At 36.1% G+C, this 15987-nt stretch overlaps 1 protein-coding gene across 8 annotated transcripts in view; it reads right to left on the bottom strand.

Annotated features, from left to right (window-relative positions):
* Window positions 1-15987, bottom strand: part of COL19A1 (collagen type XIX alpha 1 chain) — a 345913-nt gene that overhangs the window by 130447 nt on the left and 199479 nt on the right. For all 8 annotated transcript variants that reach the window (NM_001858.6, XM_047418188.1, XM_011535437.3 and 5 more), the window contains one exon: window positions 13546-13599. In NM_001858.6, the coding sequence (NP_001849.2) occupies window positions 13546-13599 (54 nt within the window). The remainder of the gene's footprint in view (window positions 1-13545; window positions 13600-15987) is intronic.

Below are 15987 nucleotides of genomic sequence, written 5' to 3'. Positions count from 1 at the left end.
GTTTCTTTGATAACTGTTGTAAAGCTATGAGAATAATATTGTAACAATCTCTAGAAACTTCAGTGTTCACTCTTTTATTTTTTCCTACCATTAAAAAACACATTACATTCTTTCTTTGCATAGAAATATTGACATTATTTAAAATACTGATGATAACAGACAAATAAGCAAGTCTATAAAACTATTCAAATTTTATTTTTAAAAAAGTAAGAATAAACTGGTTTCTTAACTTGCAGAAACAATGAATTAATTCTATAATCCTAATATTTTTGATAAAATTTTTCTCCTCAATAACCATCATACCTCAGCATGCATGGTCATTTTCCACATTATCTCAAAATAAAATAATCTCCAAATTAACATATTAATCTTTACAAATTCACAATTTTTGCCATGTCATTAAGCCTATTGTTTAGGTCTGCTGACATTTCTTTTTAGCAAGAATTTCTCAATGAAGGGAGCTGTGTGTTGATTTACATTCTGGTATAAACTTTAATTTGTGTAACTGCTTCAGGTTTTTTTTTCATTTTCAAAAGAAGTCTACAAGGCTTTCAAAGTCTGAACATGAACAGTAATAAAATCTGAGAAAGTTTTATAGATTTGTTCATCCTTCTGTGTGTGTTAATGCTAGAAAATGTGCCTTGTTGTTGAAAATGATGTGGTAAAGAAAGAAAGCAAAATAAATGGTTTGTTTTTAAGAAAGCCCATTATAGGTAATTAGATTTAAATGGAAAATAAGATAGAAAGTAGTATGGAGGTAGAGCATGCAGAAGACAATTAGAAATATTATAAGTCTTAAGAATAAAAGATTAAAGATTAAAGCCCATCCTACTGAATGCTGTGGGGAATTCATCTATTCCATTTTTTCGGCTTTAGCTTTTCTGATACTAGAAATTATCTAATAAAAGTATATTAGACGCACTCAGGTCATGCAATTTTGACAAAATTAAAAAGAAAGGGAATAGTGCACCATTTTTGATATTAAATTAGAAGCGTAACTTCTTTTGAATTTGTAATTCTTATGCCATCCTCATTTTACTTTGAAAAGGTCTTTATTTCTATGGCAACAGCTGCAAAGAAACACACCACATTCACTTGCATAAGCTCCCAGTGAAAAAGGTTTTTAAGCCCATAGTAAGTTACCAGTAGAGTATACAAAAATGTATCACCATAACCACAAGGACTTACTGATAAAACACAGGCAGGACTCTTCATATGGTAAGCCAGTCCCTTGGCATTTCCTCGCTTGGAAACGATACATAATTAGCATGCTTCAGAAATTTTATACCATTTGAGAAAAAATAAATGACAGTTTACAGAATGTGCACAGAGACATAAAACGTGAAAGTTGCCAAAAGCAATAAAGATAAGAACAATTTAATTTTGACAATATTTTACCCTGACCTCATTTATATTATACCAATAAAACAAAGTTTTCCAAGGAGTTAGAACTGTGTTCTGACAAAATGAATTTGTGAAACAAAATAAATGAATTCAGACAAATGTCTGATAACAGAAATGCTCTTGTAAGATACCACTGGTAATTTACAAAGGAAAGGAGTCTTAGATAAAAGGGATAAAATGAAATGCCCACATTTTCCCCAGCAGCTTGAAAAACCTAGCAAAACTGAAATTAAACTGAAATTGCAATAATAGACTTTTTCTTATCCCAAGGCCTGCCCCTTTCACCATCGTTTAGTTTGACTTCCTCTACTTCTATATTTCTCTCTACTTTTACCTAAGTTGGGCTCGCTGTTCATGAGGGAAGAAAGTAGTAGGTGTATCTATTGGCCTGAAAACAATCTTGTGATTAATGCCTCTTATAAACAGCAAATGTTTTACTAAATCATATCTACACTAAAAAATTCTTTCTATATGAGAAGAATATGCATATGCAATGTGAATATGCAATAAGCCTTTATTTCTACTTTGTCCTCAAAGTGAGTGTCCATGCCCCTCCTTTCCTTTTCCTGTGTCCTCAAGGTAAAGATGCTGACCCATGTTTATACCTGTGCCTTCCCTTTTGGCCTCTTCCGGTATGTCTGGATAATTTATTATTGTTTGTTGTGCTTGCATCTTCAGTTTCTCCCTATTTACAGACTTCTTTGCTTCAGTTTGTAATCGTAGTTGAGTATTCACATATATATATATACACTTATGAGAAAAAAAGAAACAAAGATTTTCCTTGACCTCTCCCAATGTAGTCTTATGCCATCTCTCTTTACACCTCAGCTTTTGAGAATAATAGTTCATAATCCCCTGACTTTCTCAATATCTACTACACTCTTGAGATCCGTGCAGTGTCATGTCTGCCTCTGTGCAACACAGACATGCTAAGAAACCAGCTTCCTTCAAGATCACCAATGGCTTTTTCTCAACCTCCATCCTCCGATACCTCTGAAGAATTTCCTATCAGTTCGCAGTCTCCTCCCTTTCAAAACTTTCTTCTTATTCTCCCACTTTTCTATACTTTAAACTTTCTAGTTCATCTCTCCACCCCATTCCTATATATAGGTTTACCCAAATTTCAAGGTTCTACTTTCAGTTCTTTTCTTTCTAGTTTCTCCCTTGCACACTGCCCCCTCACCCCATTGTGATGGCTTTAGTTATCACCCTTAAACTGATGACTTGCTAACAGTAAACTTGGTTCTTCTACTCAGCTCACATCTTAAGGGGCTTTTGATTGCAGATTCTTTCCGTAGCCCTAATGCTGTAGGCTTCAAACTGACTCATCTCTTCTAAAAGAATGTTTTCTTCAAGTGTTTTCTACTTCATTTAAAGGCACTATCATTTCAGACTTGATACGTCAGCAATCACTTCTGAAACTTAAGTCCTTTGCCTGTTCTGTGTTCATTCAATCTCCTTGATGTCACTCCCATCAGCCATTTCACTGGTTTTTATAATCATGCCCTTTATTACTTATTGATTAGACTACAAGAATAGTTTTCTTTTCTTTGAGATAGAGTCTCCTTTGTCGCCCACACTGGAGTGCAGTGATGTGAGCTCGGCTCACTGAAGCCTCTGTCTCCTGGGATTAAGAGATTCTCCTGCCTCAGCCTCCCACATAGCTGAGATTAGAGGTGCACACCACCATGCCCAGCTAATTTTTGTATTTTTAGTAGAGACAGAGTTTCACCATGTTGGCCAGGCTGGTATCGAACTCCTGACCTCAAGTTACCTGCCCGCCTCGGCCTCCCAAAGTGCTGGGATTACAGGTGTGAGCCACTGAACCCGGCCTGTGAGGTTAATATTATCAAAGTTCTTTTTAAAATCATGTCTTCACTTTCACTCAAAAGCCATCAAGGATTCTGTGTCAGTGATGTTAAGGATTGTGTTTTATTTCACCTCTGTACAGGTGCAGTTGGTGCCAGGCTAGGGTGGGCTCAGTTGCCATGGGTGTTGGCTGCTACAAGCTTCTATCTACACCCATTCCTGGAGGGTTACCTTAGTCTACAGGATCTACCTGGCCTGGAGATACTGGGAAGTTACTGCCCATCTCCCCACCCTGTGAGGGCAAGCCTCGCCCCTTGCTTCAAGGCAGGAGAAATTCTGTCGTGCTCCAGAGTGTCTTGTGAGATCAGGGAGAGACTTGATGCTCCTGAAACCACATTTTGCCTGCATTCTTCTCTTCTCTTGTCTGCTTCCCTCACTCTGTTACAGGTTTCTTCTGTAAATCGCTTATACAAGAATCCCATCTTAGGCTCTGCTTTTAGGGAAGCCTGACTTAAGCCAACTTCCATGGTATGTCACACAAAACAGGCACTCAAATGTTTCTTGAGTAAATAAATAGGCCCTCAGATCTTTCAGAGAGGCTTTTTGTTCAAATGCAGTTGCCTCACTCAGTATAGGTGTTTTTGCTTATTTTCTTCTCTTTCCTACTCTCTATTCATTAGCTCTTGTCTTTTTCTCTCAGTGTAGAGATTTTTATTTGATTGCATTTATAAGACCCTCAAATACTTTCGAAGACAAATAAACTATAAACATGATTGAATAAATGCACAAAGCTATGGAAATGTTTCTGCAAAAGATTTGGAAGACTGCATAAAACACATGGCCAATGGAGAGTGTGAAGCAACGGCCTTCAATATGGCAGAACAAAAGGTGTAGATTTTTTCCAATGATATCTTGCTCTTTTCATTGTATGTTCTAAGACTGATTTTCTTAAAGTGGCATTATTAATGAATAAAAATATTGAATGCACATAAATTGTGTTTACATTATTGAATTTTATGCACATTCAAGGTATTAAATATACTTGTAGATACTCTGCAGTCATCTTTCTCACGGTTGCATAGACACATTGTTAACATCTCTCACATAAGAAATACAAACAACAGTCCTTTCTAGTGTTCAAGAAGTGCATTGTCTAGTGATTTGAGAGCCAAAAATGACACCATAATACAGTGGTCACAACATACGTTGTATACTGTTGTGAATTTAGAAAACACAATGGATAATGCTTACATACATGTACATACATATATGTATATGTTTGTGTTGGACATATTAGAGATATCAAATAAATATCAAATTAATCTACAATAATTCACACAAAAAAAGTCCAAGTAAAAGTTTACTGGTTTTGAGGAAAATGAGAAAAAGTAGTTTCTAAGGTATTTCTGAAGAATTCAAGAGCGACTCTCAATACTACCATTCCAAGAAATTTAGAAATAAAAACACAGTACAATCTACGTACATCATATAAAAGATAAATTTTCAACTTTTTAAAGAATTATGGCATCACATTTACTTTGCAATAGCTTCTCTCTTGATAATTAAAATATAATGTATAAGAAAAACAAAAGTGCTATAAAATTAAAGTTGCTTTGAGAATTATGTGCCATTACCTAAGGTAACTCAAAATACTATAGAGTTTTACAAAGTTGAGGGCTTATTTATTGGAAACATAATTTGCTGGCTTTCAAAGTCATTAGGCCATAAAAATGTTTCATGCTCCGAATGTTTTGCATTTCTGAAAATTTATCTGTTTATATTTTCCAAATTGATTAATAACTTGTGATTAATTCTTGGTTTTGGCAGCCATCCACACATATATTCGCTCCATCCCAAATGGATAAATAACTTTCTACTTGACATTTCCAATGGTAAACATATGAAATAGTTACTAACGTGTTCAGTGTAATGTTCTGAATAAAGATCCTGATGCAGGTGTATTAGCATATCGCCACTTTGGCAGAATGTGCCTTCTCCTTTTCCATTCTCTTTAAGTGTTTCTGTGGCTAAGTAGGTAATATTTATAAGACTCCTTCATAGAACACCTGTCACCAGAGTGCATTTAAAGTGCTTCCGGCTTAATCCCATAATATACCTGAGGGCTAAGTTATGATAAAACAGATAAATTTAGACTAGAGTCTTGAGTGATTTGGCTGAAGTCACAAATTGATCCAATTGCTCTCCTGAGAAAAAAAGAGCAGTTCTGACTCTCCCCCTGGTCCCTCACTGGCCAGGCATTGCTGGTTCCCAAATGTTGGTGCAGGTTATAGGGACAGAATGTGTGCTCATCACAATGTGTGGAGACCATAAAGGGATCAGCTGTACCTACCTATATTTGTCCCTTCTAGTGTGTGGCTTTAATTAGAAAAATTAAGTTAGTGATTTTTAAGTAACTTTTTTAAAAGTTAGTGATTTGGTTAAATTCTCAATATCCCTATTTTAAAACATGCAAATCTGGGTTTCAGTGTGATACCACAAAATAGACAATGGGTGTATATTATGCAGAACAGTTAGAATAAATAGCCCTGCAGCCTTGGAGAATTGCCAATGTTTTCTGGGTCTCTGTTTTCTTATTTGGTGGGCTGGAATGATACTATAGTACCCCTTTAGCTAGAAAATGTGATGATTTGATGTTCCTGAAATGGGTCCACCCTCACCTCTCCAGGCTTCTTTCTGAAGCTCTCAGCCACTCGGCTCAGAGGCTGAATCTCTCCAGTTTGAAGGAGTCCCCATTAGATGATGTGCCTCTTCCACATCAGAGAACAGCTCTTGGGTCTATTCACATAAATAAATAAACCATTCAGACTCAGGGTCCTATTTGAAAATACAAAACATTTTTCCTTTACTAATCCATATAAAAGAGAAAACTTATTATGTTATTTTGTTACAATACAAATAATGTCATTCAGCTCTTCATTTAAGTGAATGTAAGGACCTCAGCTCACTGTTGCTTTACTATTGATATAAGTATTATTGGAACAAAATCATTGCTTACAATTTTTTTTTTTCTCATTGACAGCCTTTCCAGGGCGTTTTGTCTCTTCTATCTCAAGTGCACTGCAGAGACCACTAGTTAGAGTGAAATTTACCACAAGGAGACACAGGCACACTGTCAGTAACTAGCTGTGCTGTTTAACCTTATCTAAGGGATGGCCTGTGATCACAAAGTCTGGGCTACATCTCTTGTTCATCTGATTTTAATTAGCCTGTGCTAGAAGTTGTTTTCCAACATCTTTTTCCTTGATTTATCTTTCCCACCAGTAAGAGAATATGAGGCAAAAGTAAAGGACTATCCTCGCTGCACAACTACGCCCTTGAAGGCATTTGTTTGACATGAACATATATTAGCCTTTCCCCCTTTTTCCTGTCTTACTACATTGCTTCAGTAACTATATTTGATCCAATTTTAGGAGACACCAAGCGGCCAAAGTCCACCATGGAGCTCTGCAAACAGAGATGCAGGGATAAATGCAGATTTGCTTATTTTTATCCACCGAGTTTCATATTTGGTTTTGTAAATTCAAACAATGTGTTGGAGAAAGCTCTGCACTTGTTGCTTGGACCTGAATAGGGTACCCAATTTCCCTGTTATTCATCTAGAAATGTCAGACAGAATTAAGGATGGTATCTCTTGCAAACTCCCAAGATAATCCTCATGGAGACATTCTGAAGAAATGTCATAGCAAGTAAATAAAATACGATGTTATCTGTATGCCAAGAATTTTCTAACAAGTAATAAGCATGAACCAATAGTTGTAGAATACAGAACATTTAACGTGTTATTTTTAAGGTATACGTTTATATTTATAGATGAATCCAAGCAAAAAAGATGCTTTTTTTCTACCTACGACCAGAGTTAAAACTATTATTTAAAGTAATTTTTGACTTTTTCTTGCTAGTAATACAAATTCCTGGTGGAAGGACACCAGTCATCGTTTTAGTGAGAGCAGAATTATGAAACACTCATCGTGCATTTTAAAGGTCATTGTCAGTTTTGACACATAAAGATAAGAAGACAATCATATCACCTGTTATAATGTGAAACTAACAAAATTACTTCCTATAAATTCATAATTATCCATTCTTTTCTCTATAAGACTCCTCTCTAAAATTCAAGCCTGTGTAAGGATGTGCAACTGCAGACAATTGTTAGTGGTTTCTACCAGACCCTGAAATCATTTCATTGGAACAATGAGATCACTTTGTAGCTGTGAAGTTGGTAACTTGGAATAAGCTATCTTAAAGTAAGAAGAAATACTCTTTCTCTCTCTTTTTTTTTTTTTTTTTTTGAGGTGGAGTCTTGCTCTGTCACCCAGGCTGGAGTATAGTGGCACAATCTCGGCTCACTGCAACTTCCACCTCCTGGGTTCAAGCGATTCTCCTGCCTCAGTCTCCCGAGTAGCTGAGATTACTGGCACCCACCACCATGCCCAGCTAATTTTTGTATTTTTAGTAGAGACAGGGTTTCACCATGTTGGCCAGGCTGGTCTTGAACTTCTGATCTCAAGTGATCCGCCCGTCTTGGCCTTCCAAAGTGCTGGGATTACAGACATGAGCCACCGCGCCCAATGAAACACTATTATTATTATTTTTTTACTTTACTGTGAGGCAGGTCTGACCTGCATTACTGTCTTGCTGTGTTCTACAAAGTTTTCATAGAGCATGGCTAGACTATGAGGGCACAATTTCACTTGAAAAATATCCCAAGCCCTGTAAAAACAAATAAGCTTAAGGAAAATTTTGCTTAAGTGAGTCCTGTTGTATGTGTTGATTTCATAGAAGCAATGACTTTGATGTCCTTTTACCTAATGAGATCAATATACCCCAGTACTTATTAATAACATAATTCATTACTTGTGCTGTCTTAGGTAAAGTATATCAACCAGTTCAGAATCAAACCAAAAGAAAAACCAAGTGTAAATTTTACATGAAAATCCCAGTAAATTTACACATGATCAGCACAATTTGTTCATCAAACAAATTTTGAGGTCTCAGCTACTCCACAGTGATGACACCAATCTTCATATCTTTCTTTAAGGAAAAGGCAATAGTCTACTCTACCTTGCAGACATTTTTACATACTTAATTTTATTATCAAGTTAGATCAACACTGGGCCTCAAGCTTCTGGGGCATTAGAAAATGGGCATGGACATCTAGGTAAAGTAAGATTCAGGTAAAATTTAAATAAAATAGATTCAACAGAGTAGTAGTGAAAAAAGTCATTTTATCTTAAATATTTTTTCTTGATCAATTAGACATTCTCCTTAATCAAGTACTAATATTCTGAAGCTGTATACCTACATTCCCTTCTATAAACATCTTGAGATCACTAGGCTAACACCGACATGGCATTACTCCTCATCACAGCCCTGTGGGGTAGGCGTTATTAGCATCTCCATTTTCTAAAAGAGGCATGTGAGGTGCAGAGTGGCTGAGGAATTCACACAAGATCACAAAGCTCATAAGCAGTAAAGCTGGGATTTAAATTCAGGCAATCTGGGCCAGGCGCTGTGGCTCAGGCCTGTAATCCCAGAACTTTGGTAGGCCAAGGAGCGTGGATCACCTGAGGTCAGGAGTTTGAGACCAGCCTGACCAACATGGTGAAACCCCATCTCTACTAAAAATACAAAAATTCACCAAGCATGGTGGTGCATGCCTGTAATCCCAGCTACTTGGGAGGGTGAGGCAGGAGAATCACTTGAACTGGGGAGGTGGAGGTTGTAGTGAGCCAAGACTGCACCACTGCACTGCAGCCTGGGCAACAAGAGCAAAACTCTCTCTCAATAATAAATAAATAAATAAATAAATAAATAAATAAATAAATAAAATTCAGGCAATCTGGCCCCAAAGTCTGTGGTGCAACCTGTATGCTAAATTCCAAGTTGCTTGCACCATAAGATGAAAGTGGACATGTTGCTTGCCCTGCCCTCCTGTACTTTTGTAGGCTCCCAGCTCATGGAGGAAATGTGACCCAGCCCCTTTGCCATCAAGTGTGGGCTGGTGCAAAGAAACACATCTTGACGGGGGCAGGGGTAGGTAGGTTGATGTTCTCTGTGCTGTTTAGAATGCAAGGAATCCTGACTCCAGACACAGCTTCAAAGCCAGCTTGGAGCAAGCACTTCAAGGGAAAGTAAAACCTGCACAAAAATGTTGCAAGGAGGCAATCAAGAGGATGGTTGCCCAGAGAGGGGAAAAAGGACAGGCACAGGCAGAGAGGATAAATTGAGAGCAAGACAGGGCAGGATAGAGGGGTAAGTTACAGGGAATTTAAAACATAAAGTTTCTGTTCAGGATCAAAATTAGGATCCAGCAACAGAGTGCAAGAGTGAGGTGTCATCTTGGTCCAACCACACAAACTTCTGTTTGCGGCAGTAACTAGTTGATTCACCAGTAAATGTCTTTTTTCAGAGACCTAGAGGAACTTCTTTTAAAAAGACCAGGGTAGCTTCACGCTAACCTTGAGATTATTCAGATGTGCATTTAATGTGACTATAAAATGAAAATTCAAGGTTACATAAAAATTATTGTTTTCATTATTTTTGGGGAGAGTCTGTTTGTTAGGAATACTAAGAAATCCTGCAAGGAACCTACATCTTAAATGGAATTTTTATAATGCCAGTTCTTTTGCAATGTTTCTCATTAATATCCATGAACATGATCTGCTACCTGAAATATTCCACTTTTCACAAAGATACTTCTCTGGGTTTCCATCCAGTTCCTGTCCTTTTCCCTCCACCACAATCTCCATTGTTTGCCTCTCCTACCTCACAACTCATGCCCTAATTTCCTTACACATTTTCTTGAGATTTTTGTTTCCAGTGCCCTCCTCACTACTCAACCGAACTTCTCTCCCCTGGCACCAATTCCAGCCACTTCTCTTATCCAGCATCCCTCCACTTACTTTGTTCCAAATTTTAATTCTGCTGAACCCTTCAAGAATCTAGAACCGCTCTTCTGTTGACTTCTTGGTTCTGTACGGCCTTTTTCTGCCTCATGATGGATTAAACCCCCTCTTAACTTCCAGGAAGGCCCCCAACCCCCAATGCCATTCTGTTCTCCCTCATCGTGATCTGAAACATTCTCATCTGTAGCTTAGGATCAATATTCAACATTCATTGAATTCTAAAAACTGTGTGAATCCATAAAGGATGTAAGACTAAAAAATATGTCAACCAAATATTTTGCTTGCAGGGCTTCAAGAAGACAAAGTAAATAAATAAATAATGGCATATAAAAGATCCAAAAAATGAAAATCAGGAAGTTGAGAAATAAAACAGCCCATAAATTTCAGATACATATTGTCACAGAACATTGTTAAGAATAGCTTTTAAGTGTAAGAAGCACATTACTTCTACATTTTATTAAATGAACACTTTATAAACTAAGATTTAGCAGCTTAAATGATAATTAAAAAAATAAAATCAACTAATCAAAATTTCAAACAGAACCTTGGCGTGGTACTTGCAAAAATAGTGTTGCTATTATGCTTATAGGAAACTACACAAAGAGTTAGAGAAAAAGAAAAAGAATTCATTGATCAGAATCCTATGTCTTTCATAATAATAATAGCAATATTAACATGTTTCTATAATGTTTGATATTTTTCAAAGCATGTTTAAATGTGACACCCATGTTTGAAACTCACCATAATTGTGAGATATTGGTAGAGTAGTAGCTACTACGTATTTAATCATTGATGAAAACCAACAAGTTAATGATTTGTTTAAAATTAAATGTTCTGCTTTAATTAAAGTCATTATGTCTAGGAATAAAGTACATAAAACTTCACATATTTTATGTTTCATTTAAATAGCCTTAATGATAGTCAATACCTTCTTGGTCAACCACTCAATTAAAATACAAGAGGTTTTTAACATTGGGTAAATAAAAATGATTTTAAATTCCTAGATTTTTCTCACTATTGTTTTCTACTGCAAACTTTAGTGAAATAGAAAAATTATTGGTCTTAGCTTTCAGAATGTGCATCTGTATGTATACACACATATGTATATACACAGGCATACATGTACAAATACATTTATATGTCTGAAAGAGCTGAGTACTCCTTAACTATTGAGCTGAGAAGAAATGGTGGCACTCAGTTGGACCTAAATGTAAATATGTAAGAACGCTCATTTTTAAAATTCATTTGTTTCCCATTCAAGTAGCTTATAAAGTAGAATAAATCACTGAGCATATATGGATATAATCCAAATGCATATAATTATTTGTAAATGTGGATAATGTCAATAATACCTGCTCTAGCTACTTCTTTTGATAAATAGGGCATTTGGGAAAGAGCAGTAGCAATAATGACGAACTATGCCTAAAAGTGTCTATAAGTTCTATTACATTTTTTAGTTTCTGACATTATGTTACTCTTGATAGAAGATAAAAGTAATATAAAATTATCTGGACTATACGCATTTATAAATGGAGTAAATTTACATAAAATAGTGGTTGAACTTTACAATTTAACTGATTTCCTTCTTTATTATCATGGAAAATACATGTTTAATTTATTCTTTAATCTACTTTCTTATGAAATGCAAGCTTTGATAGGGTACAATTTTAATTTGAAGCATTATTATTTCTAAAAAGCCTCATTTAAATATTTTTTCAGTTCACCCAGTATCTAACAAGTCTGTCATAATTATCTTACAAGCCAAATCAAGAAATGTGGGTGGGAAGGTGGTAGGGTTCAAATACATTTGTACATGATTTGATTGTCACACTTTAAGGACATCAATGGTGGAAAAGATGGTAGCCTAGGCTGGTGTTACACAGGGTTGTCAGGCCCTGTTCTGTTCAGGATTTATTAACGATTTAAATGAAGACAGAAGGTAGGCTTATCAAATTTTAAAGTAGCATAAGGCTGAGGGATATTTCACTGGAAAACAGGATTCAAATCATTTTTTAAAAGCAAAAAGCCCCCAAAGAATAGAATGCTATTAGGGATTAAAATCAATAAAGATGAAATTTAACAACAAGGATCAGTTCCTACTCTGTGATTCAAAAAGGTAACTGTACAACAACGGGCTGGGTGAAGACCTGACTTAGCAGTTTTCATTAAAATAAAAAGGGAGGAGCATTTAATTGACCACATGTAGTACAAGTCAAAAGTACAATACCAGACAAAGGAGCATTGGCTCAATCTTAGGCCATAATAGTAGCATGTTGTCTGTGGTATGGGGCGTACTTGCCTCATTTTACTCTGCCCTAAGTAAGACCACATGTATCCAGTCTCATTCTCGACAACTCTGGAAAGCCAATGAGTGTTTTCTGACAAAGATTATTGGCATGTTGGAGAGTCCAGAATCCATACGATAAGAGAACAAGTTAAGAGAATTGGAATTTTATTAACTTGATAAAAGGTAAACCTTAGTACAATACACCACTGACCCTCAAATATTTGTAGTTGAGGAAAGAGACTTATTTTACAGAAGGCAGAACTGGGAATAATAAATGAGAATGTCTAAGAAACATATTTGGGGTTAATAATAAAAGAGAACGTAGGACTACAGTCAGAAGCTCAAGTTTAGGCACATCATCTAAACTCTAAGTCATGGAATGCTCATCAACAAGGGAACAGAAGTTGACAGTACCTGTACTATTTAGTACAAAGACTGCCATAAATAAGCACATGAGAAAGAACACACAAGATTTTTTGAGACTTTAAAATGGTTTGAAAATGATAATAATAACAGTAAAACACAAGAATGGGGTCCCCACTGCTCATATGAAGCTGACCAGTTGTCATAACACTGCAGGGCTTCGTTTTACTGTGGAATGATGAAATTGAACTGCACTAGAAATAGGAGGTTATTGCTCTACTACCAATTCCAACGATGATTTATTTGCTTACTATTTTGTCTCAGTTAAAGGCAATAAATGGCAATGAAAGGAGAGTTATGAAAAGCCAGTGAAGTCAATAATTTAATTTGGATAAAGAATGTAGTTAATATCCACAACCTTTATGGAATTAATAAATAGGCTAGACCTCCACAAAGATACTCATCAACTTAATTCAAAAACTAAAAGTATGACCAAAGTAGTGTAGATCAAATTAGGGCTAATTCATTTTATCCAAACAATATCTCTACACTTGTGCTGCCAATCTTGAAAAATATAGAATTTTCTGAATTGCAAAACCTCTGTCAAAATCTCGAATCTCAAATTTCAGCCTTTGGATAATTGATACTCTCCATATGCCCATCTGCTTGCTCTATTTCGGTTTCATTTTCATTAGTGTTCCCAAATAAGTATCCCCTAAGTTAGTAATGCCCACCAGTTGTTCCAGCTTTACTTACCCTCTGACCCTCTTTTCCAGGTGGACCTTGGGGGCCTTGTATCCCCAGGGAACCCTATGAGGAAAAAGAGACACATGTTAATACACTGTTTCAAGTACACCTGCCTCACAAAGAATGTTGTGAAAATTAATAATTATTTTGTTGATTAAAACAAACTTTTAAAGTAATTTGAGCTCTTTCAAGGTTGAACTATATAATATATTAATAATGATGAATTGCCCTTCTTTGACTGGCTTCTTTGTAGCTAACTCCAGAAAGAAAAAAAGGCAGACCCACACCAGGTGTGAGACCAAATGTTCACCGCCAGTGAAGAATCTCATATGATTGGAACCATGTTTCAACAAACCACCATAAATAAGTGGTAACAATATTTGCAAGCAGAAAAAGATACCTCTTTATACATTTAAACTCTATAAATAAAATTATATTTTTGGTTGAGAGTAGCTTTTAAAGTATATTCTAAGGAAATGCATGATTATGGTGTTGGCTTCAAACATGCCTACTCATAACATTGAACTTTTAATATTAAAAATATTATTTACTGCTTTCTTGTAATAATATAAAGTGGTAGGGAAAATAAACATTCTTTTTTTTTCAGATCATAACAAAGTCCTAGGAAATCCCAGGTATTAATCTGAAAGTCAAGTCTCCTGATTCTTATTTTAGACAGAAATTCTTACTCCACATGAAATTAAAAATGATGATATTGCCATTCAAAAAAAACTTCAGCAGTTATGACTACTTCTTTCCTGCTGCTTCTTTCTTCCCTAATCAACCATTAAATGCGGGAGATTTTTGTCTCATTTTCTTCTCAGTCCACATTCTCTCACATTGATCTCACACATCTGTGGGCTTTGGATTCTCTAGACCAGCAATTCCCAGATCTACAACTCCAGTTTATCTCTGAGCTGCATTCAGACCCACGACGTGCTTGATGGAACCACTGCTACCTCACAGGCATCCACAGTTTACCCCATCAAATGCTGAACTCAGGATCCTCCCTCCAGAACTGGATCCTCTTCCACCATGCCCCAAATCAATAAATCCATACCACACTCTCTTCATGCTCATGCCAGAAATCTAGAACTCATTCTCCACATTCAACTCTCTTAAACTTCTCTCTCACATACAGTTACAAAATCTTGTTGGCTTTATCTACAAGATACGTTTGGATTCATCCATTTCTCTCCACTCCTGCTGCTCCCATATTCTTGCTCATCTGTAAGAGCTTCCTAGTTGAAGCTACACATTCCTCCATCCATTCACATCACAGCCAAACTGATCTTAAGAAAACCAGGCTTGATCTTCCCTGATGTACCACTTGGAGACAATGCCTTGTTTCAGTCTCCTAGTGCCTTGCACTTTTTCTCTCAAGTACTTACCACTAATTCATTTAAGTGATTATTCATGTAATGATTTGTTACTCTCACCAGGCTCTAATCTATAACAGAATCTATATTTTATTCATCACGGTATGTGCCTGTTACTGGCCAAATGACAATTCACATGGGGAACTCATCCACTCCAATAAAAGTTTTTGGATAAAGGCAGTAATTTTCAAAAAGTTTTCCAAATATTTATAATTCACCCATCATCTATTAAATGCCTTAAATGGTTTGAAATAAATGAAAAATCTGATAATACAAATGCAAATAAATGTAAATTTATTCCCCTTATTCCAGAAGAAATTCTTTTGTTATCTAATTTAAAAATAATTAACATTCATTTTTATAATATGACCTTTTTCTAAAAAGTGATGGCTACGTTGAAACTAAAAGGCCAGATGTACTTATCATGATCCATAGTTACTTATTATGTATATATTCATTTTTAATTTTTTTCATATAAACTAAATTTTCTTTTATATATATATAGTTTTATTATACTTTAAGTTCTAGGGTACATGTGCACAACGTGCAGGTTTGTTACATATGTATACATGTGCCATGTTGGTGTGCTGCACCCATTAACTCATTATTTACATTAGGTATATCTCCCAATGCTATCCCTCCCCACTCCCCCCACCCCACAACAGGACCCAGGTGTGATGTTCCCCTTCCTGTGTCCATGTGTTCTCATTGCTCAATTCCCACCTATGAGTGAGAACATGTGGTGTTTGTTTTTTTGTCCTTGTGATAGTTTGCTGAGAATGATGGTTTCCAGCTTCATCCATATCCCTACAAAGGACATGAACTCATCCTTTTTTATGGCTGCATAGTATTCCATGGTGTATATGTGCCACATTTTCTTAATCCAGTCTATCACTGTTGGACATTTGGGTTGGTTCCAAGTCTTTGCTATTGTGAGCAGTGCTGCAATAAACATACGTGTGCATGTGTCTTTATAGCAGCATGAATTATATTCCTTTGGGTATATACCCAGTAATGGTATGGCTGGGTCAAATGGTATTTCTAGTTCTAGATCCCTGAGGAATCGCTGCAT

The sequence above is a fragment of the Homo sapiens genome, chromosome 6 (genome assembly GCF_000001405.40).
Source record: "Homo sapiens chromosome 6, GRCh38.p14 Primary Assembly".
Classification (NCBI taxonomy): Eukaryota; Metazoa; Chordata; class Mammalia; order Primates; family Hominidae; genus Homo; species Homo sapiens.
Note: the sequence above shows the minus strand (reverse complement) of the source record. Positions and strands in the feature narration are given on the sequence as shown.